The sequence below is a fragment of the Homo sapiens genome, chromosome 10 (assembly GCF_000001405.40).
Source record: "Homo sapiens chromosome 10, GRCh38.p14 Primary Assembly".
In the NCBI taxonomy this organism is placed as follows: domain Eukaryota; kingdom Metazoa; phylum Chordata; class Mammalia; order Primates; family Hominidae; genus Homo; species Homo sapiens.
The window spans coordinates 79,112,173-79,133,981 of NC_000010.11; the positions used below are offsets into that span (position 1 = coordinate 79,112,173).

Genomic DNA, 21,809 nt, shown 5'->3' on the forward strand with positions numbered 1-21,809 from the left:
TACCTGAGTAGGGGACAGGTGTGTTTGATTTGGGTTGTAGGGTCGCTTGCCCATCCCTGTCTTGATTCTGCTGGTCAGCAGACCTTCCTTGACAGCCTGCTCTGTGCCAGGTCGGACCCACGCTCTGCACGGGTCCTGCACCTGTGTGGAGGCTGAACTAAAGGGAGGGGGTTACATGTAGCAATTCAGGTGGGAGCATGGGTGTGTGCAGGAGCAGGGGAATGGCTGATGACTTCAGACCCACTCGGCTCCATCACCGAAAGTCCTTGGGTGAGCGTAGCAGAGGTGTTGGGGTAGGCTTCAGGAACCCCATGTTCCTGGCAGGCTCTGTGGACACGCCGCCTGGAAACCACTTCTGCCCTGTAATATCAGCATGGCTGAAGGGGCCTGGAATGTGTATCTGTCCTTGTACAGAGGAGGGGAGCAGACGAGGCCCAGAGAGGGGAAGGTTGATGGCAGAGCCCAGGCAGAACTCAGGGCCCAGTCTCCCAATCCTGGCTGATTGCACATATATCCCACCACCCACCCGTTCCTGCAGATCTAAGGACATTTCCCCGAAACCAGGCAAAATAGAGCAGCCTGATTGTCCATGTCAAAATGTCTGGGCATTTGGGGAGGGAGGGTTCCTTTATATCTTTCACAACTTAGCAAATTTAATTTCTTCTGATTATTTCTTGACGGTCCCAGGCGTTGGTGGTAAACAACCACACTCCCCAGAATGTTTCCCTGTGACAGCAGCTTTCTCTGGCGAGGGTGCTATCAACACTTGGCAGGGCCTCCTCCTGGCTCCTGGCTCCCAGCTCCTGAGATCGTGAGCTCCTGAGCTCCTGGGCTCTTGAGCAAGGCAGCAAGTGAGGGCTTCTCAACAGCTTTCAGCATGCAGAGCTTGCCCTGTGTACCAGGGCAAGGACAGGCCTAGCCTCTTTGTTCCCCGCAGCAGCCTGGCCTGCCTTCGGAGCCTCAGGTGGCCTCTGGTTGTGGATGGTCCCCATGCAGCGAGGCTGGGTGGTATCAGATGTCTGCTGGCTCCCACAGCTCTGGTGCCGAGGTCCTTGGCATGGCTCAGTGGCAGGAGGGAGCCTGTCTTCTGAGCAGCTCTGCCAGGACTGTCTGTGGCCGAGAGACCGGCAGCATCCTGGGCCTGCAGCCTCCATGGTCTGCGTCATACTGGCTTAGGTGTCCTGAGTCAGAGCCAGGAAATGGATCTGCCATGCGGGGGTGGAGGTGCTGCTGCCCGGGCAGCTAGGGTGAACCCCAACCTCCTGCCCGTCCACACCTGGAGGGTCCTGGCCTTGTGCTTCCTTCCCCTGGCCTGGCCTGAATGTGACTGGTGCCTGGAGGAGAGGCTGAAGTTCCAGCCTGCTCCACACTCCACTTTATGTGCCCAGGCCCCCACCCCACAGGCTGTTGTTGGCAGGGTGGGTGCTGAGACACAGGCACCACGCTATGCTGTGCTTTTGCCTGAGTTATTCTATTCCCTTTTTCTAGAATGCCCTTTCCAACTCGTTGTCTGTGTGATTTTCTGCTCCCCCTCCAAGAATTTACACAAGAATGACTTTTTTGGTGAAGGCTTCCCTGGCACCCCTACTCTGGCCAAGGCTGCCCCCCTTTCCTCTGAGCCCCCTCTCCATTGATGGCTCCTATCACAGTGTAGTATATTCACGTTTGGAGCCCGTTCACCTGTGTAGGTGCCTTGAGGCTTTTTTCTTTGTGGGTCCTACAGGCCTGATGTGTAGTATCAGCTCAATAAAAGCAGGCTGGATTTAATTAAGGGGGTTCCTGAAGGCGGTGCTGGAGTCTCCCTTTGTTAATGGTGTGGTGAAGAGGAGGCGGGAGTTTGCAAATGGAGAGAGGCTGACTTGCCTGCCGGACTCCTACCCCCGATCCCCTCTGAGGGCAGTGCTGCCCCTCTGACTGCTGGGGACTGGGGTGGCCCCCTCCATTTCTATCCAGCGGCAGACTTCCCTGCCCGGCAGGAGCTGGCTCCCCAGGTTGCCGGAGTGATCACTCTCCAGAAAACACCCCAGTGGAAACTGCATGAATGATTGATAAGAGCTGAGAGCTGTTTAATTTTTTCCCCCTGTTTAATGGCTATCAATAATTTAATACGCTCTCTGTATGTTTTTAAGAAATAGCACCCATTTCGCCGTCTCCGGTTTAGCGGGCTAAATGATTTAAGTGTTGGAAATGTGCTCTGAGGATGGAGGTTGAGTGAGTCGGAGAAATCTGGAGGCTGGGAGTGGGGGAAGGCGGGTTCAGAGCCAGCCACAGCATCTTGGCCTGGGTGTGTATGTGTGTGTGTGTCTGTGTGTGTGTGTGTGCGTGTGTGTGTGCGTGTGTGTGTGTGTGTGTGTGTGTGTGTGTGTGTGAAGGTGGGAGGGAGAAGGGAGGGAGGGAAGGGGCGGGTAAAAGCCAGCTCCTCTCTGCTAAGAGCAAGATAATTGCTTTTCCGGGGCCTCACTGAGCAGCAGCTGAACAGCTGTCAGCACCCCCCTCCACAAATGCTAAGCTTTTTTTCTGGATGGCTCTGGGGGGCCCAGGGGGGCTAGGAAGGAGCTGCCACCAGTATCACCACGGGCTGAGAATCTCCCCTCCCCCTGACATCTTTGCCCCCTCTTAAAGCTTCTAAATCACTTTTATTTTAACGACGCAGTAAGGCTGCTGCCCGGGTGGTGTCTTCCAGGTGGGGTGTGGGTGGTGGAGTGGAGTGAGGGACTCAGAGGGACCTGGAGGGTCATCTGCCAGTGCTCCCCCAAACTTTCCAGATGCAGAGCATCACCTGGGAGGACTTGCTAAAAATTTAAATTTCTGGGCTGTGTTCCAGACCCATAGACTTCCACTCCCAGGGGAAAGGCCTGGGAAGTTGTGGGTTTAACAATCAGCCCAGGTGATTCTTAGCAGAGGAGTTTGGGAACTATAGAGTCCAGCTCTGTTCTGGTGCTTACAGCACCCACAGCACCACGTGGCAGCTCCCTTCTGCTTGCATGCCTCTGGGAATGAGGTACTCACCACCTCCCAAGGTAGCAGACCCACTTGTGGAAGGCATACTCTAGTCTAGAGTTGCTTCTGATGTTAGGCTGTGACCTACCCAGCTGCCCTTGTGGGCTTGGAGTTCTCTCTGCTACAGGACAGACCGTGTTTCCTGGGATCTGATGTCTTTCCCTCTCCCAGCCTTGCCACTTTTTGGCTTGTTTGGGCCTCTCTGCTGGGTAAGGAGCTTCCTCTCTTAGCAAAGGGTCCTGGAGGTAGAAGGCAGGAAGGTGACAGGTGCTGTGGCCTGTCTGTAGTGTGTGAGGTGGCTGCATCATCCTATTGCTGGTAAGCATCATCGCTGGTACAGTGGAGACCCTGAGGAAGGCAGAAAGATGGTGGGCCTCAGCACTGCCTTGGCCTGTCAGGGATTCCATTCCTCCCACGAGAGAGAAAACTGGCTCATCAGAGATCGTTGTGTCAGCCATAGCTCTTAGATGACACTGGGGGGAACTGAGGGCTGAGGGGTTTCCCCAGAGACCACATATCTATTTAGGACAGAGCTGGAGCTGCAAATGTGGGGGCGAGAGGCCCTTAGAGGGGTGGCCAGGCCAAGGCCCTGGCTTTAGGGATCAGCTGAGGCCCCAGCCAGTCACTCACCTGAGGTTGGATGGGGGAGGGCTTCCGCCTTCTCAGTCACTCAGGGCTGATGGACAATTCATGGAGTCAATACATGGAAGGATTTTGGTGGAGCCGATGCCCACTCTGTCTGGCATTACAACTCTTCCTTCTGTCTGCCTAGCAGTTTCCATTGTTTTGCCAGAGGGTGTAGCATTATACTACGGCCATGGGTCTTGCAATTTTGTTTTAATAGATAATTAAGAGGGAAGGAGTGGTGCACATTTACTGGGCATCATGGCTTACTGTGAAATGGGGAGTATAATCCCCCCGTAAGCCCTGCACTCTGTAGCCCCTTACTGCACCCCCGGATTCAGCCCCACCCTCCATCTCTGTGGGAGAAGCCTGGGTCCCCAGGAGAGAATTGCCCTGTTGGGTGCTGGCAGCTGACCTATCTTGAGATCCCAGTTCCCCATCCTACCCTGAAGCCTGCTCTGGCCATCACAGTATGGCTGGGGGTGTCTCGACCCTGGGGGAAGAGGAGTAGGGGTGTCACCCAACCCTGATAGAGCTTCTGCTTGGAGAACTCCGAGAGCTGCAGAGGCAGAAGAGAGACTTACACACTCTGGGGAAGACCCAGCCCCAGAGAGAGAACTGTGTGAATATGGACACCCAGGCAAGGCCTGGGGAGGTCAGGGAGGGCCTCCAGGAGAAGGTGCCACCTGACTGCAGGCTTGAGCATGGTAGGAAGGGGAAGGGCATCCTGCGGTGGAGGTGTGATGCAGCCTGTGGGGGTGCACAGAAGAGTGAGGTAGAGCCTGCAGGGCTGGGGATGGGCTACAGAGGCCGGCTGGCCAGGGCGGGGCTGACCTGATTCAGTTGGGTGGAAAGCCACGGAAAGATTTGTCTTTAGTTCCATTGAAGTGTTACACCCATGCAGAAAAGTGTGTATCTCCTACATTTGTAGCTTGACAAATTATCCTGAAGGGCACATGCTTCTGTAGCTGCCAGGCAGATCAAGAAACAGAACCTTGCAGACCCACTAGAGCCCCCTGTGCCCTCTACTCACTGCCCCCTCAAGGATACCGACTGTCCTGACTTCCAGCCTGCTGTGAGTTATCTCCTGCTGCCCAGCAAACCACCTGAAAACTTGGTGGCTTAAAGCAGCCACCATTTATGAAACCTCACAATTCTGTGGTTTGGCTGGACTTCTCCTCCTGATTCGCTTGGGCTCATGTGACTCCAGTCACGTTTGAGTGTCTGCTGGACTGGAAGGTCCAGATGGCCTCAGTCACACGGGCAGTGGGTGCTGGCTGTTGCCAGGGGAGTTCCCCACCCTCCACTAAGACAGACACCTCCCTCCATGGCCTGCAGCCTCACAAGAGAGGCAAGGCCAGAAATGGCAGGACCTCTTGAGGAGGCCTAGTCTCTATAACTCACAAAATGTCACTCACACCGAATCCTATTGATCTAAACAACTCTCAAGGCCAGCTCTCAGCAGGTGGAGAACAGACTCCGCCTCTTGATAGGAGGAACTCCAGAGGACCCCTGCCGTATTTCATCTATTACAGGCGTAGAGTCTTTTTGCCCTTCTTGACCTTTATATAAATGGATCTCATAAGTGTATTCTCTGTCGTGCCTGGCTTTTTGAGTCAACATTGTGTTTGCAAGATTTACCCGTAGTGTTGTTGGATGAAGTTGCAGATCACTCATTCCCAAGCCTGTGCAGCAGTTTGTTGTGTGGAAACACCAGTTGACCCATTCTATGGTTGGTGGCCATCTGGGAAGTTTTCATTTTCTGGCTGTTACGAATTGCCTTGCTACGAGCATTCTAACACATGTCTTCTGGTGAACATATGCACATTTTTCTGTGGACATGGAGTTCCTGGGTCATGGGAGAGGTCACAGGGTAAGAGACCCTTCCAAACTATTCTTCCAAGTGGTGGGTCTAGTGTCTAGTGTGTGCCCCACCAGCAGAAGGGGGACTTTACAAAGACCCAGCTGAAGATGGGCTGGAGGTGCATCTTGTGGACACTGGAAGGGGCTTCCTGTGATGTCCCCTCTGCCCGCCCTGAGCCTCAGGCCCCCAGGTCAGGGGAAGTAGAGCCATGAGGCTGATCCCTCTTTTCTGAGCATGAGCTTTCCTGCTACACTTTTTCCACCCCAGAGGCCTCCTATTGCCTTCTCCTTTTCCCAGCAGCTGCCTTTCATGGTTGACCTGACCCTCAACAGTCAGGGAGGCCAGGGGTCTGCAGATGCAGGAACTGGGGGGAGACAGCCACACAGCCTCCATCCCTGAGGAGATTTGGACTTCACTCCAGCCTTGCCTTTCACCATGGGAGGAACCCTTTCCCTCTCAGGGCCTCAGTTTCCTCATTTGTAAAATGACAAGGAAAAGTATCAACCTCACCAAGTCCCTTTCTTCTCATCAATCTGACCCCATATTCTAGAATCGAATAGAGGAAGGGATGGGGGGAGGCCTCCTGACTTCAGTCAGCCCATGTTTTTCTGTTTGTTCACTGCACACTTTCACGGCACCATTCATCCATCAAGGAATCTCTGTGGTCCTTGTTAACCAGTTCAGAGGACAGAGAGAAACTAGACTTCACTCCCAATGTCCAGGAGCTGGGCCTGGAGCGGGAGAGTGTCCTGTGGGAAGCGGGAGGAGGCAAGGTTGGCCAGGCGCACAGCCCACTGGAGATGAACAAGCAAGGAGGGGCTGGTGAGAGAGGGCTCCACGGAAGCACTTGAGCAGAGTCTCAAAGGCCAGGGGCCCTTGAAAGACAGAGAAGTGGGGAGAAGAGCTCTGAGCGGGGCACCCAGCGTGTGCCAAGGCCGGAGCCAGGGGCTCTGGGAGGCCGGGCTGACTGGAGCCTAGTGGTGGGCAGGCAGGTTTGGCTGCTGCTGTGGTCTGGCTTTCAGGGCTGCGGGGCTGCTCGGCCGGTGCTGGGGCTTCGAATGTGACGTTCAGGAGCTGCGACCTTTATTTGGCAGTGGCAGGACGGTATCCAGTGTCTCGAGTAGCTCCACGTTGGTGGGCCAGTTCCATCTTCCAGGAGATGGCAGCCAGGACCTAGAGGTCCATGACGTGGGTGAGGGGCTGCCCGCAGGGTCAGAGCTTGGAGCTCACTGCCCCCTTTCTTGTCTCCCATAGGACTCACGGCAGCTGTGTTCTGATTTCGTACTACTGCTGGGGCTGCCACCTCCTCCTCCAGACGCTCTCAGCAGACTTGAGTCCTGGTCCTTCTGCAGAGGCCTGAGCAGGTAAGTGGGATGGGCTGGCCCTCTGGTGCTGTGCACCTGCTGACGTGGGGCAGACAGGGAGTGCGGGCTGCCCAGAGTGCATGGTGCTGTTTCAGGGGCCCAGAGGGCTGGGGAGGGGAAGGGGCTTCTTTCTCAGTCTTTATTTGTTCCTTGGCCTTTTCCTCTCAAAGAAAGCCACACAGTGGAGGGTGGTGAATGTCCTGACTTGGGACCTGGACATGGGATTTTATTCTGCTGCCAACTCCCAGTATCGCCTTGGGTAGCCCTTTCCTTCTAGAGGGCCTCAGCTTTCTACTCTAGTCCATGGAAATAACAGTAATGATATCCTCTAACCCGACAAGCACTTAACTGTATTCTGGGTACTGTGCAAAGTACTATAGAGTTATTACTTCTTTCAGCATCACAGCAGCCTTATGAGAGCATTGCTGTAATCACCAGCATTGTACATGTGAGAAAACTGAACGTCACTCACTCAGGAAGTAACTTGCCCCAGGCGGCACACCTGGCTGAGCCTAGGGTTCAAGTCCAGGTCTGTGTGGCTCCAGTGCGCCAGCCACTGCCCGCTGGCCTACTCTGCCTCTGGCCTTGCTCCTAGCTTCTTTTTGGGGGTGGGGATCAGGGCAATTATGGGTGTCTTCAGAAGTGCCAGATCCTGTCCCAACTTAAGAAAAAGGGAGAGGGGCTTTTACCAGGTGACAGGCTCCTGGTGGGTCTGGGGTCATGACCCATTTGTGATGTGATGTGGCAGGGACCAGGCCTGGCCTCTGGGTGCCTCTGAGGTGGCAGCCAGGGCCCCCTCTAGAGGAGGGGTGTGTAGGCTGGATAAGGCTTTCTTTCCCTCCGCCCCTCAAGTTCGTTTTCCTAAGCTTGTATTAAACACTTACTGTGTGCCAACTCCTGGATTAGGTACCAACTGCGGTGCAAGGGAAAGGGGCCTGTCCCACTCTCTGCTCCGTGGAGAAACAGAAAGATCCCAGTGATGTGGCAAGCCCCATAACAGTGGCGTGGAGAGGGTTCAGAGGCTGGGGGGAGAATTCTGGGGAGGTGACCACAAGTGAGTTACAGTGTGGGGAGACAGAAGCATAGATGGAGCAGAACCTGGCAGGATGTGCATGCACACACAGACATGAGTGGTGGTGAGTGCATAGATAATACAGATGTGCAAATGTGCGCTTCCTCACAAACGTGTACACAGACGTCGCTTCTGCATGCCACATGAATGCACACAGATAACACTTGCGTGCACTTGCATGCTCACATACACATGCACAAACTCGTGTTGGAACTACACACATACACGGGCACAAACTCTCACAAGCACACAGCATTCTGACACACGGGGCTGCATATCCATGCACACACAACGCAGGGTGCATTCCAACAAGAAGAGGCAGTTCAGAGGTCGATGGCTCTGCATCGGCAAAAGCTTCCAGCAGCTCCTGGGAGGCTCTGGACAGCCTGGGCCGAGGCTGAGCTGGAGCTCTGTTTGTGTGTATGTTGGGGAGGGTGTTGGGGCTTGAGGGCCAGCCATGTGACTGACCATGGACAAGCCCTTGCCCGCTCTAGGACTCATTCCCCATCTGGAAACAGGAATCGTCCCTGTCCGCCTCCTATACGGTGGCCGCAAGGATGAGAGGCTGCTGTGTAGATTGCCGAGAGCAATTTTGGGCACTCTGCAGGGCTTCAACAAATTGAAGCTAGTAGTCTCATGAGAATAAAACAGGTTACAGGTAAAGTGGGGATGTGGGGGCTGTTCCTCTCCAGGCTTCTCATCCCCTGGGGCCTGGGTACTCTCTGAATCATGGGCATGACAGTCCACCCTGCCTGCCTCCACCAAGGTGGTGGGGTCTGTGTCATCCCTGCTCCCGCTCTCCCACCTGCACTTCCCTGTTGACTCGTGAGGAGTTGGGGGCCTGCAGTGCCCAGCTTTGGTACAACAACCACATTTGACTCCCTGCCAGGAGACTGGCACATTGCCTCCATGAGTGCTCTAAATCCCCTTGAGAAGCCTGAGAAGGCCTTACCAAGCAATTTCCAGATGAGGAAACTGAGGCACAATAAATGCAGGTGAGGTTCTCAGGGACACCTGCTCATAAGTGTTGGAGCTGGGCTTCGGATCCACGTCATCAGATGTGAACATTTATGCTCTTTTCTCCCATGATCTCCTCTCAGGGATAGGTCATTTATTACCCACTTTGCAGATAAGGAAACTGAGGCTCAGAGAGGGCAGGCCACTCAGCCAGGAAGTAGCACAGCCAGAATTGGGTGCTTATTAACCACACTGCACCCACCTCAATTCAACACTTCCTTTTCCTTTCCCTCCCTCCTTCCCAGAGAGCCCCTCCAGGTTAGAGGGGGTTCCCGAGGAGGCTTCTGGGATTATCTGGGCTTTAGTTCTGACCTAGTATTCCCAGGCATACCTGCCATTTTCTTGCAAATAGAAAGATAGGCTATTCTCTGGGGTCTGCTTTCTAGCATGACCTAGTAACTTCCTCTCCACAACTCCTTTGTAAAGTATCCTTAGGATTGTCCTTTGGAAACTTGGCCAGCAGAAAGCTCTGGGGTACCCAAGAGGCTTGGAGGAGTCCTAGGCCTTTGGAGAGGTAGCCACTGCTTGCATATCCACTGGGAGGCTCTGTGACCTGCTAAAGGATCAGGGTGTGGGACCACAGCACAGGGAGCCAAGGTTCTGCTTGGCATGGGTGGTAGGTACCACTATGGAAGGAAATTGGGAAGGATCCCCGGGAGGTGATATTTACGCTGGGCCTTGGAAAGAGGAGAAATTTGCTAGGTTGATGTCAAAGGCCAAGGAAGACCCAGCAGAAGGCTCAGCTCCACCAAAGTCCCAGAAAAGTGAGAGTTTATTCATGGCCCTTCGCACCTGCATCTGTACCCAACAATACCCATCAGAGTCTCCTAGAATTAGGGCCAGCTAAATAATTTAGCTGTGGTCCAATGCTAAATGAAAATGCAGAGCCCTTTGTTCATGAATTACAAAGGATTTCAAGATGATGACAGCAGAGTAGGGTCCTTCTAAGCTTGTGGCCCTGTGTGACGGCCAGTGAAGCCAACCCTGCTTGAGTAAGTGTAGCAATTGTGGGATTTAGCGCCAAGAACTGAGTTCACGTGCAGGCGCCACCAGTTACTTACCAGGCCCACGACCTTGGGCAAGTCCTCCTCATCTCCATAAGCCTCATCTGCCAATGAGCGATGGTACCCTCCTGCCTGCAGAGGAGGGTCAGTGGTGCCAGCATCTAGCTTATCCCAAGCAGTCCAGGACAGAAGCTTTGGCCGGGGTGGAGTGGCAACTCTTTCCGTCACGTAGTGATGTTCAAGGCTCTCCTGACCCACCCCATTTACCTTCCAGCGCTGCCCCTGTCTACCTTGGTGGCCTGGTTTTTTGTGCTTTTCCAAATCCACCTGGCTGGGCAGTGGAGGGTATGGGGAGTCTACTCTGTTTTATTTGCAGAGCCTCCTGTCTGGACTGCTCCTTGCCCACACTCCCATCTCTCCTTGGCAGACTCACTCCTGCAGGTTAGATGTCATGCAGATTTCTTTGACCCCCCAGCTCCTCCCTTCCAACCTTTACTCTGTGATACCTTCAGTAGCTGCAATGACCTCTTGCACTATAGAGTTCTCTACAGTGTGCGAAGTCCTTTCACACCCATCACACCCTGGAGAGCTCTTGAAAGGCCCTATTCCCATTTGCTAGATAGGAAAACAGAGGCTCAGAGGTACAACCATCCTAAGTTCCTGGGCTGAGGTCAGACCCACATCGGGTAGGGGTGTAGACAGTGGCAGCAGAGAATGGTACCTAGGCTCCACCCTCGGCCGCCTCATCTTGCAGCATTTGGGAAAACTGGCTTTTCCCTTCTGGTAGAAAGCTCCAGCCCCTGGCCCAGGAGAGGTATGTGGGTTGCTGAAGAGGGCCTGGTAGAGCGCAGAGGTCCAGCCAGCTAGAGCAGACTAGCGCCCAGCCCTGCTTTTCCCCACAAGTGATGTGGCCCAGTTCACGTGGCTCGGCGGACTAGAGCCAGGTATACATGGCTCTGAAGTCTGGGGCAGAGGTGAGAAGGCCCTAGCTGGCCTGGGCTGCAACCGCAGGCAAAGGCTGGCCACAGATGAGAGGGGTATCGTGTCAGGGGCATGACAAACTGTTCCATATGGCTGGCACTTCACAAAAGACACTCAAAACACTCTTGGTGGATGAGTGTGGAGGATGCTGGCAGATTGCGGCTGTGGACCGGGCTGAGGCATGGAGGTTTTCCAGCTCTGTTACCCCTTTCTTTGTGGCTTCTGATGAGCGACTTCATCTCTCTGTGCCCCATTTCCTCATCTGTAAAATGGGGAGAATATCCCTCTAGTTGGGAGGGATTCAACGAAGTAAGCCATGGGCACTCTCACAGCCATGCCTGGAGCATGGTTAGTGCTTTCTGGCACTTTCTAGCATGAAGAGTGGAGGTGGCAGTAGCGGGAGTGAGTAGGGGGTGGACTCCAGGGCTGTGGCCACACAGGAGGGTTTCCTCCACTGAGCAGCATGGTTGTGCGGTCTTTTAAGAGAAGGTGGAGAGGGAGATCAGGGATTGGGGTTGGGCTGGATTTGGATTTCATATGAGGCAATCCCAAACAGCTGTTGCTCAGAGCTCTGTGGGCAGCCACCTGGGGTGAGGGCTGCACTCTCCTCGCCAGCCCCTCCAGCCCCTGGTGTGTGGCTTTAGGCTGCCGGCATGCACACCCTAAGTTGTCAGTCAGCAGACTTCCAGGGTTACATAGGCGGTTTGGGGCTGGCCATGAAGACCTTGAATGCCAAGCCCAGCTCACAGCAGGCCTGGCCAGGGCCCAGCCCGTGGCCACACGGAGCTGGGATTCCAGGGTCCGCATATGGCATGCCTGTCAATCTTCAGCGCCAGCTGAGAATGCACACCTCTCCTCCCACTGCGTGAAATCTGTGGCCTGCAGCCCAGGCCCTCCACCCCAGCCTCTGCAGCCTGCTATGACTCCACAACCCCCACCCAAGCCTGGATCTGGGAATCGTTTGCAGCTCACTGCTTATTCCTGCCCAAGGTAGGATGCCCCTCTAGGTCAGGAGGGTGGGACTGCTGTCCTGGTGGGCCCTCTGAGCAGGACTTGTGTTCAAGCCTCAGTCCCATTAAGAACTGCTGTGTGACCTTGGACAAGTTGCTGCCCCTCTCTGAGCAGCTGTTTATTGGTCTGTAAAATCAGAGGATTGGGGTAGGTCAGGGATTACAAACTGCAGTCTTCAAGGGTGTCAACAACCCATTGAAGTTGGGACTATCCTGTTGTACAAATGAGAAAACTCAAAGCACAGAGAGGTTAAGAAACTTAGCCAAGGTCACACAGGTTATAGTGGAGCTAGGACTCAGCCCAGTTTTATCTGACACCATAATATGTGTTTTCCCTACCACAACAAACTGCCTGTCACAGATACTTGCTTGTTTGCTGGGTGATCCATTTTGTCCATCAGCCAGCTTGGTGTTGAACACTTCCTTGTGCTCCTGCACCGTGCTAGGCCCTGGTATCCAATAGTGAATCTTCAGTTGAGCTGGGAGAGCACAGCTCCAGGTCCGGAGTTCTGAGTAGAGGTCACAGTCTCCAGTGCAGGGTTGCTAGGTAGGTGCAGCTCTTTCCTCATGCTGTAGGAGGCAGCCAGAGAAGACTTCCTGGTGGAGGGGTAAGGGGAGTGGGGTTCCTATACAGAGTGGAAGAGTAGGGTCTTCCTGGGGTCTCTGCACAACTGGGTGGCATGGGTCAGGGCAGTCCGGCTGGGGAGGAAGATTCATTCAGCCACAGCTGAGGCAGCCCCTGAGGGCCTTGAATGCTAGGCCACAGAGTTTGGCCATGAACCTGCAGGGAGTGGGGAGCTAAAAGAGACTGCAGGGCAGTGGCACCTCCTTTGTGAGAGCTAGGAGGGCTGGCCTCAGCTTGCAAGCTAGGGCAAGGGTGAGGTGTGGTCCAGTCTAAGACTTAGTTCACCCAGGAACTGTGGCAGCAGGAAGAGCAAGGTTGGAGGCTTGTCCACTGGCCGGACCTTCATGCTCCACCACGGCCTCTTCAGCAACCCAGGCACCTCTGCTGGACCAGGCGCTGGGGCTTTCTACCAAAAGGGAAAGCCAGTCTTCTCAAATGCTGCAAGATAAAGCGACCGACGATGGAGCCAGGTGCCACAATCTGCACACCTCCCCCAACCCCATCTGCCATGGGCCTGACCTCAGCTCAGAGCTTGGGGCAGGCGTTGCTCAGTGACACAGTGGGATCAGAGAGGCTCAGAGACCAGCCCGGGGGCACACAGCATTCCTCATGGTGGGTACAGAGGCTAGAGCAGGTAGGCAGCATCTTTCCCAAGAGAGGTAGGTCTGGGTCTCCCTCTGGCCGTCCCAGGGTCCTGGACATGCTTCATGGATGGTGTGTGCTCACTCTGGTAGGAGTGTAAGGTTGTAAAGAGTTTCCTGGGTGTTACTTACTGAGGGCGCTTCTCCCTCCCACTGATGTTTGCCCCACTGGCTCTTTTTGAGCTCTGGAGTTTGTCTCTTTCTGGTTCATGAGCCACACACCCAGGCCACACATTGGGGCAGAGGACAGCCTTGGCCGTGCCTGTGTTCCTAGGTCTGAAGCCTCAGCGACCTTGCAGCAAGTAATAGACACTGGGTGGGGCCACAAGCGTGACATCTTTATTGGAATAAAAACAAAACCACAGCCTCTCTCTCGTGTTGGGAGGAGTGGTCTTTAGAAATCATTTTACCCACCCCACTCATGGCACAGATGAGGAAACTGAGGCCCAGAGATAGGAGGGCATGCCCCAAGGTAGCCAACATGGCGCTTCAGGCTATCAGCTGAGTGCAGGGCCACACTAAACTGTGTAGGCTACATGGGGGTGCAGAGGCTGGCAGGGGCAGGGACCAGCAGCAGCGATAGGAGCCTTCTATCTGCAGAAAGGCAGGACTGACCCTGAAGGGCCAAGGAAGCTCTGGGGACCTGTGGAGAGCCACCCAGAACTGGGACTGAGAGCTGCACGGGAACCCGCAGACCTGGCTCCGTGGAGCCGCATTTGTGTTCTGCCTCCTGCTGTGAGAGGTTCGCCACCACAAGCAAGGGCTTATCCTGTCATCCATTTACCCAGAGAGCCCCAGTGAGGCCGGGATTTGTAGGCCCAATGGTCAGGGCTAGGGGCAACGCCTCAGAGTCAGGGCCTAGTGTGAGGCTTATAAGGGGCAAGGGAGTGAAGAAATAAAGTGGACTCAGGAAACCAGGGGCTGCCCTTCCCCTCATCAGCCCCCTCTGCCAAGGCTTAGCAGAGTGTCCAGCAGGCTCAACCATCTGGGAGGCTGCTGACCACAGGCAGCATGGCATTACCTAGGGCCAGGGTCTAGGGGCTCTGAAGGCCTCAGGGGTCAGGGAGAGCTTCCTGGAGGAGGTGAGTGCCAGCTGAGCCCCAAAGAATGACCAGACTGTGAACCAAACTGAAAGCATTCCACGCAAAGGGAACAGCTGGGCCAAGACCCTGTGGCAGCCACACTGGGGCAGATAATGGGGGCTTTGTGGAGGCTAGGACTGCTCAGGGAAAGAAATGAGGCTGGAGGTGCCCCCGGGGGGTTGGAGACGGCAGAAGGAAAGAAGGTTATATTTTGCTTTTAACTTGCTAAATGCCCCTGAGTAGATCACTGCCCCACTTTTGTGCCTCAGTTTCCCTTTTATCTCCTCTGAGCTTCAGGCACCTGGGGAGCCACAGCAGGGAAGTGCCTCAGTGGAAGAGTCCGCTTCTGGAGGCTTTGAGCTGATGCTGGGGATATGAGCTGAGGGAAGTATGGGCTTCCCCAGCACCTCGGGGGCAGTTGGCCCAGAAGGCTGCTGCTGGACCCAAGGCTTCTCCCCAGTGGAGGAGAGCTGACCTAAGATTTCTGGGGTTTGCCAGGCTGGACCAACCTGAGAGGATGAGGGATTAGGTCCCTGGGGCAGCCCCCACTACAGACTAAGGACCTGGGTCCCAGGATAAAATGAGAGATGCGCCTCCCTTCTCTTTGCTGTGACCAACTCCTTCTTTCCTCCTTCTGCCTCCTTCCCTCCTGCTGGGGACAGGGAGGGGACAATATTTATTCCTTCCCAAGGCTGCAGCTGACTGATACCCTGATGCAGAGGAAATGCCATGCCAGTGCCAGGCATGCTGCCGGCGCTCTGGGTGCCTGGTGCCCTCTCCAGGTGTGGCTCCTCCCCATAGCCCTGGGCTCGGCCGGTCTGTGTTTGCAGAGCCTCCACTGACCTGCAGCGGCCTCTCTCTCATGCCTCTCCTATCAGCAGAGCGCCAGCCATGGGCTCCTTGGACTACAAGTCCCCGGGATTGCGCAAATTCCCCCAGCAGTTTGCACAGCAGCCAGCTCAGGCCCCGTCAGATGGCCCAGGTTCCTGCTCGGGAAGCCCATTCTTTTCTGGAATAATAAAGCAGCCACCCCACAGCAGGGGGTGGCAAGCTTCTCTTATCCTCACAACCCCTGACTCATGTCACCCTCATAATATCAAGTGGGCTGGGGCGGGGTGGGGAGGTGGGTGGCGTTTTCCAGAGGGGGAACTGGAGTCAGAGAAGAGAAGGCATGAGACTTGACCAGGGTCACACGGCCCAGCCAGGACTCCAACCAGGCCCCTGCTCAGCCTTTTTAGACCGAGCCAGTGTTTCCTGTTCAGGGCCATGCAGGAGGTGAGTCAGGAGCAGGCCCTTTGCAGGAGCTGCTGGGGGCCAGCAGGAGAGGCCACCAGTCTCTGTCTTCCCTCTTTGGCTCCAGCTGCTTTAATTGGCTGGGGCTGCCAGTGGCGCTGACATTTACCTGGTGGGAAGGAGGGCCTCCTCCCTCTTGAATTGAGATGCTAAAAATAACAGGGCCCAGCTTCCCAGGGCCACTGCTCAGCCAGCGCCTGCCTGCCCCCTCAGCTACCTTTTTCCTGGGTGCTGGAAGCTAATTGCTTTGCAAGCATGCAGTTCCTTGCGCTGAGAACTTCCTAGGGATTGGGACAGGAGGCATTGCATGCTCAGCTTCTGAGTCTAAAGAGGGGTCTCTGCAAGACCTCCCTCCCCTCCAGGCAGCAGGGTGATGGTCTTCTGCCTCAGGTCTCCCTCCCCCTTTTCTCCCTGGGTGCAGTACCTGTCCAGGTTGACTACTCCACCCCTAGGTGCTTGGGTGCCTTCTTTGAGCTGCCAGAGTTTCCCCTGCTCTAAGAGAGGGGGCTCTGCCCTCCTTGGAGTTTTCTAGTACTCACCTCTCCCTGCACCATACTCGACCCAGACATATGCGGTGTGGCCCTCTGCCCTCATGCTGTTCATTTTGTCATACCAGCAACCAAGAGGAGCCCAGGCTTCGGAGCTGGACAAGTTTAAATCCAGCTGTGTGACCATAGCACATTTCCAAGCCTCTCTTTTCTCATCTCAGAAATGGGCATGAATCTGACCTTTGCAGTGTTGTTGCAGAATGAATCGCAGTGGGCAAAACATGCCTGATCAAGAGTGGAGCCCCTGGGGCCAGGAGGAGGCGTGTGTACATCATGGGGCGTTCCTTTCTCTTGCTGTGTAAATAGACCCTGGAACTCAATAAATTAGATTGATTGGACCAGAAGGGGAAGGTCTTGAAGACCCAGGCTAAGGATTAGGGACTCAGTCTCCCTGAAAACAGGGTATGCTTGCCAATCCCCAGGGCACCTCCAGAGTGGCCTGTGTGTTTGTCCAGTTCTTGCCCTGGGTCAGTGTGACCATAATCATTTTGACATTGGCCAGCATCTCCCGGGCTTTGGGATCATTCCAGTGGAAAAAGTAGTTTTCAGTGCTCTATGCTTGGCAGGTGTGAGAGCCTGGGCGTGCTTAACCCATCCACACCTCAATTTCCTCATCTGAAAATGGGGATGATAATACTTCCTTCCCCGTTAAGTATTGTAAGGATTAGATTAGCAACATATGCACAGTACTTAGAAAGTCTGGTGCAGGGTAACACTTGGTATGTGTTAGCTGGTACTCATAGTAGTAAGAATAGTCTAGCAGTTGGGAGTAATAACAGCAGCCACCTGCCGTTTGTTTAATGGTTTTTATCAGATGCTGTGCCGGATGCTAAGCACTTTAAGTACATTATTTAATGTCACTCTCCCCCACCTCCCAGCAACCATACACAAGGTACTGTTATAAGCTCTGAGTTCCAGATGAGGAAACTGAGACACAGAGAGTAGTTGAACTGAAAACCAGAGTTCAGCATCAGCCCCACTAGGGTGGCCGTCCAGATTGCCTGGGACCGTCCTGGTTTTAGCATGGAAAATTCTGTGTCCCAGAAACCTGTCACTTGTGGGCAAACCAGGATGGTTGACCACCCAAGGCCTGCCTGAGTCCACTGGCCCCACTCTGAAGCCCACAGGATCCTCTTCTTGGCGCAGGGGCTTGCTGGTGCAGTCGCTCGGCCCCTTCCCACACCTCATAGGCCCCTCCCCCAGCCAGATTGTGCCTGCCCATCCCCCAGGGCCTGGCTCCAGTCTCCTCTCTGGCTTCCTCTCTTCCCTCCCCTCTGCCAGCAGGAGGGGCATGACTCATGCCTGGTGGGCTCTTTGCTCAAGGCTGTGACTGCAGTTGTCTGGTGGACTCTGAGCTGCCCCTCACCAGGCCTCAGTCTCCCTATTTGCACTGAGGGCTTTAGTGGCTTTGCTCCCAGCTTTCTGGAGACGTTCAGGAAACCTCTTCCTTGAAAGAGGGAGGGCAGAGCGAGCCCCTGCCCCCAGCCCTGGCCTGAGCAGTTGGGAGGGATCGCACTGGCCCTTCCGGTGCATTGATGGAGTGCACTGCTGACAAAGGAGAAAGGTCAGCAGGGGGACAGAGCGGAGTTGGTGGTGGCCTGCTGGCCTGCAGTGCCCTCCCACAAGATAGGGCTTCCTGGGGGAGGGGAGCAGTGCTCCCTGGGCTCTGGGTCAATTCATATTGATGCAGGCAGCTGCTGGTTCAGCAAAGCTGGGCATCCAAGCCCCCAGAGGGCTGCGGGGAGATGCCTAGGTCATCCTTGACACCTCACTTTCCCTGACCCCCACATCCAACAGTTGATTAGGCCCCCTTAACCATCTCTGGATCTGTGACCCTCTCAGCATCTCACCCCTGCTGGGGACCATCTTCCTGCTTCTGAATCCCTGAGCCCTTTCCAGCCCTCCCTGGCTTCCCCCATCACCTTGCATAAAGTCAGAATTTTGAGGCTGACATTAAGGCCCTTACTGAGCTCAGAAAGGCTGCCCAGAGCTGCCCAGGCCTTCCCTAATATCAGCCTTCTTGTGCCCTCCACCCTCCAACCCCAAGGTCATGTGAAAGGTCTGGGGACACCCTGAGTGCCAGGCCCAGCGCTGTCCAGTCAACACTCCAACCCTACCCAGTATACAGGGCTGAGCCTGCAGCAGAGCTGCAGCCAGGTGCCAAATGGATGCAGTGCCCCTGCCGTGCCCTTCTCAGACTCCCCCTTGAGCTGCTGCCATGCGGTTGCCCAGTGGATCTCATGCCCCAGCTCCCAGAGGGCAGGAGTTATCTGTCTCCCCAGCACACATGCAGACCAAGATGATGGCAGGAAAGCGCCATGGTTGGTGCATAGGCGCTGGGGTCATAATATGAGGGTCTGATTCCGGCTCCATCACTGACTAACCGTGTGACCTTGGGCAGTCACTTAACCTCTCGGTGCTTCAATGACATCATTTCTGAAATGTGGGTAATAATATTCTGTCCTTCACAGGATAGTGGGATTCAATAAAGTGACACTTATGAAGTGTTTGCAGGGTCCCAGAACATTTTAAGGATCAGTAAAGTGAGCTCCCATCAGTCATCATCAGGCAGGTATCTATGAAATGAGCACCGTCTTCCAAATGGGGCCCTCCCAGTTCTTTGAAGGGTCCTTGCATTTTTGCCCGGATTGTTCCCTCTTTGTCTTCCTCCTGCTCTAGCATCCCGCTGCACCCCCGCCTGACATCTCCTGAGACTCCAGGAAGCCAGCCTGCCCTAGCCTTGCATTCTTGCCTAATCCACCCCATTGCCATGGAATGCCTTCAGGCTATGGCCAGGAGTTCTTCCCATGTCCCCCACAGCTCTGCACAGGTTCATGGACCACAGTGGATGCCTAATAAGAATTTGTTGGGTTGAACCGATATTCACCAAGCAAAGTCACCTCCAAGAACAATGCAGCAATGACCAGCCAGGCCTCTGGGCCCATCCACAGCCCATTGAGGACATTTCTGAGACCAGTCCTGAGCTACTCTGTGCAGGAGAACAGCACGTGCCCACTCTGGCCTCTTCGGTGGCGGGGGATTGGGGATAGGTGGGGGTGGCACTGGGGCTCAGCAGCCACACTGGAAGGTTTTTCAGGGGGTTTATCTCCCTCTTCTCTGAGCTGTCGTGCCTGTTTTGTTTGCCTCGGTCCCTTCCCCACCCCCACAGTTCTCTGTTAAATTGTGTTATTATATTTAAACAAATCAATTCCATTGCAGAGTTTTTCCTGTCCTAATGATGAGTTTGCAGCACAAATGCCATTGATTTCTCACAGCCCTGAAAACCAGTTGATGAATAGCACCAGGCTTGTCTTTGGAGAGGCACTTAGAGCAGCTCTGCATGGCCCCCTCTGCTTCTCCCCTGTGCTGTCCCCCTCATTCAGGACCCCACCTCCACCCCACACTCTGCTGCCCCCTGAGTTGGGGCTGAAGTCATGTGATAAAGGGAGACCCTCTGTGCTGGCCAGGGCTGGAATGTCATCGCAAGGGCCCGGCCCCTGTTCTGGTGGAACAATCATAGTGGAGATTTGTATTGATTTTGGCCAAAGGCACAACTTACAGAGCAGAGAAGTGGTGCGGTGTGATCTTTGTCTTCCCTTACAAGTTCAGAGCGCGTTCCTGAGAGTGATGGCAGATAGCAGCTCAGACACCATTTCTAGACCTTGCCAGGGCTGCTGAAAGACCTTTGAGCACTGCTGTTTTAAAGGGAGGCTCCAGAGGTTTGAGAGCTGTCTGCACTGGGGAGTGTAAAACTTCCCTTTGTGAAATCCTTCAGAACCTGCAGTGTTCAAAGTCACGGTTAAACCACTACCCTGGGCTTTGACTTTCAGATCACTGCCACGTGCACGAGCTTCTCTGAGCTTTCTAATGACCCCGGGGCTTGGGTGGGCAGGTAATATTGTTCCCCTTTAGAGGCCGGCAGACTGAGTCAGGGTAGTCACTGGAGAGAGGGAAGGGCTGCTTGTCCACTCCAAGTCCTGAGTGCAGCAGTGGCTCCCATGTCTCCTCCTACAAGGGTAATACATGGCAGGGGAGCTACTCTGATCACCAGCCTTTTCGGCCGGGCTTTCTGTCTGTCTGAGCCCAGGTCCTCGTGCAGGTGTCTCCACTCAGCTGCTGCCTGCAGCATACCACACAAGCCTGTGTATTGGGCTGGAGTGAGGCAGCAGGGAGCAGCGAGGACTGTGGCATTCTGGAGAGTGCCTGCCCCACCTAAATTCCTAAAAGTTTGGACAACCCATGCCCGTAAAAGTATACTACATGGGATGAGACTGGGGGCCAAATTTGCTGCCTCTCCCCTATTCTAATTCAAGCCTTTGTTTTGGAGACTAGAATGTGTGGCCCAGAATTGGAAATGGCTCTTCAAGGTCACAGCACAAAGCAGTGGTGAGCTGGGGTTTGGGTCTGGGAGAAGGCGATGAGGCCCCACAGCCAGTGTTCTCTCCCCTCCCTCAGGCTTGGCGAGGCAGTGGGGTGGGGGCAGGGCCAGGGACTGTGTTCTAGGGAAGATGGGCCCCTCACCCCTGAGTTCAGGGGTAGCTCAGCAGGCCCCACTTCCCTTTTTTCTCCCTTCCTCCTTCCCTCCCATGCAGACAGACCTCCTGTCCCTGTAATCAGGTTAGCCTCCTGCTCCGATGAGCTGGACCAGCTGCCTCTTAATGACCTGTCGACCTGGCCCCCTCGCAGGCTCTGGGGTGGGGGAGGGGAAGCTAAGAAAAGAACGGTCGGTGGAAAGAGGCTGTCCACTCCCTTGATTCAGACCTTTCCACAGCTTCTAGGATCAAGTCCAAACCCTTAGAATAGCATCCAAGACCCTGCTTGCTTCTCCAGCACCCACCCCCTAGTACACTCTTTTCCTGCAGTCACATGATGCTGTTTCCTACCTCCCTGCCTTTTCACATGCAGGTCCTTTGGCTACTTCCCACCTTCTCAGAAAACTCCTGTGCATCCTTCAAAACCCAATTTGTGCCTCTTCCTCAGGACTGCTTCCTCTGGGTTCCTGCCTCTGTACTCTCACAGCATTGGGTGCTCTGCTGGTCTGGAACTTATTCCCACTGTGTTGGCCTCCATTATTCCTGGATCTGGTTTCTCCGGAGTTCCGGGAGGAAAGGAAGAATATTCCCTTCCCTCTGCACCTCAGGGGTACAGCACAGAGAAGTGCTCAGTGAAAGTATAGGGCCAGCAAAGAAGAGAGAAGTAGGGACCAGGGAAGAGAAAGAGACAGACAAGAGTATAAAAACAGCTGCTCCCAGCCCCTCATACTGCCCTAGCCTGCTTCCTGCCAGGGAGGCCATTCCTAGCGACGCATGCCTGGCCTGAAATAGACACATGGGGACCTTGGTAGTGCATTTTCATAGCTCAACACTAAGCACCCCCCTCCCCCTTATTCCTTGGGCACTGAAGCTCCCTCTCCTCCCAGGGCCTTGCCTCTGCAGCCAAGACCCCTCCTCCAGCAGTGCCCAGACCTCACCCCTCTGTTTCTGTTAACTTTGTTTTATAAATAAATCATATAAATAGGCTCCTCTGATTCCTCGGAGCATGCAGTGTTTAAGGACTGGGGCATTGCCGCAGGCATAATTGTACTACCGAATCCATCAGCTGCCTAATTACCATTCATTTTGCATTTATTTCTGCTAATTAAAAAGAGAGAAACTCCTAACAACTTTTACATAAATACTATATTT

General features: G+C 54.6%; 1 protein-coding gene across 11 annotated transcripts in view, besides 11 other annotated features; it reads left to right on the plus strand.

The window, feature by feature from the left end:
* The window catches only part of ZMIZ1 (zinc finger MIZ-type containing 1), a 247,554-nt gene that overhangs the window by 43,207 nt on the left and 182,538 nt on the right, over positions 1-21,809 (plus strand). For all 11 annotated transcript variants that reach the window (XM_047425538.1, XM_047425539.1, XM_005269988.4 and 8 more), the window contains one exon: positions 6,743-6,852. The gene's annotated coding sequence lies outside the window, so the exon portion shown is untranslated. The remainder of the gene's footprint in view (positions 1-6,742; positions 6,853-21,809) is intronic.
* Positions 592-1,182: an enhancer, noted in NCBI's record as "H3K27ac-H3K4me1 hESC enhancer chr10:80872521-80873111 (GRCh37/hg19 assembly coordinates)". NCBI's record gives its function as "activates a minimal SCP1, AML or CMV promoter by ChIP-STARR-seq in naive H9 embryonic stem cells {active_cell/tissue: H9 hESC(naive)}" and the evidence as "EXISTENCE:reporter gene assay evidence [ECO:0000049][PMID:30033119]".
* Positions 1,183-1,772: an enhancer, noted in NCBI's record as "H3K27ac-H3K4me1 hESC enhancer chr10:80873112-80873701 (GRCh37/hg19 assembly coordinates)". NCBI's record gives its function as "activates a minimal SCP1, AML or CMV promoter by ChIP-STARR-seq in naive H9 embryonic stem cells {active_cell/tissue: H9 hESC(naive)}" and the evidence as "EXISTENCE:reporter gene assay evidence [ECO:0000049][PMID:30033119]".
* Positions 1,773-2,363: an enhancer, noted in NCBI's record as "H3K4me1 hESC enhancer chr10:80873702-80874292 (GRCh37/hg19 assembly coordinates)". NCBI's record gives its function as "activates a minimal SCP1, AML or CMV promoter by ChIP-STARR-seq in naive H9 embryonic stem cells {active_cell/tissue: H9 hESC(naive)}" and the evidence as "EXISTENCE:reporter gene assay evidence [ECO:0000049][PMID:30033119]".
* Positions 2,364-2,952: an enhancer, noted in NCBI's record as "H3K4me1 hESC enhancer chr10:80874293-80874881 (GRCh37/hg19 assembly coordinates)". NCBI's record gives its function as "activates a minimal SCP1, AML or CMV promoter by ChIP-STARR-seq in naive H9 embryonic stem cells {active_cell/tissue: H9 hESC(naive)}" and the evidence as "EXISTENCE:reporter gene assay evidence [ECO:0000049][PMID:30033119]".
* Positions 4,238-4,287: an enhancer, noted in NCBI's record as "active region_3626". NCBI's record gives its function as "activates an Ori minimal core promoter by ATAC-STARR-seq in GM12878 lymphoblastoid cells {active_cell/tissue: GM12878}" and the evidence as "EXISTENCE:reporter gene assay evidence [ECO:0000049][PMID:35858748]".
* Positions 4,898-4,967: a silencer, noted in NCBI's record as "silent region_2529". NCBI's record gives its function as "represses an Ori minimal core promoter by ATAC-STARR-seq in GM12878 lymphoblastoid cells {active_cell/tissue: GM12878}" and the evidence as "EXISTENCE:reporter gene assay evidence [ECO:0000049][PMID:35858748]".
* Positions 14,485-15,003: an enhancer, noted in NCBI's record as "H3K27ac-H3K4me1 hESC enhancer chr10:80886414-80886932 (GRCh37/hg19 assembly coordinates)". NCBI's record gives its function as "activates a minimal SCP1, AML or CMV promoter by ChIP-STARR-seq in naive H9 embryonic stem cells {active_cell/tissue: H9 hESC(naive)}" and the evidence as "EXISTENCE:reporter gene assay evidence [ECO:0000049][PMID:30033119]".
* Positions 17,238-17,879: an enhancer, noted in NCBI's record as "H3K27ac-H3K4me1 hESC enhancer chr10:80889167-80889808 (GRCh37/hg19 assembly coordinates)". NCBI's record gives its function as "activates a minimal SCP1, AML or CMV promoter by ChIP-STARR-seq in naive H9 embryonic stem cells {active_cell/tissue: H9 hESC(naive)}" and the evidence as "EXISTENCE:reporter gene assay evidence [ECO:0000049][PMID:30033119]".
* Positions 17,280-17,574: an enhancer, noted in NCBI's record as "tiled region #11789; HepG2 Activating DNase matched - State 25:Art". NCBI's record gives its function as "activates a minimal TATA promoter and a strong SV40 promoter by Sharpr-MPRA in HepG2 cells {active_cell/tissue: HepG2}" and the evidence as "EXISTENCE:reporter gene assay evidence [ECO:0000049][PMID:27701403]".
* Positions 20,434-20,934: a transcriptional cis regulatory region, noted in NCBI's record as "chr10:80892363-80892863 region (GRCh37/hg19 assembly coordinates) targeted for CRISPR interference". NCBI's record gives its function as "negatively regulates PPIF gene expression in LPS-stimulated THP-1 monocytic cells {active_cell/tissue: THP-1(+LPS for 4hr)}" and the evidence as "EXISTENCE:mutant phenotype evidence [ECO:0000015][PMID:33828297]".
* Positions 20,600-20,894: a silencer, noted in NCBI's record as "tiled region #4581; K562 Repressive DNase matched - State 5:Enh". NCBI's record gives its function as "represses a minimal TATA promoter and a strong SV40 promoter by Sharpr-MPRA in K562 cells {active_cell/tissue: K562}" and the evidence as "EXISTENCE:reporter gene assay evidence [ECO:0000049][PMID:27701403]".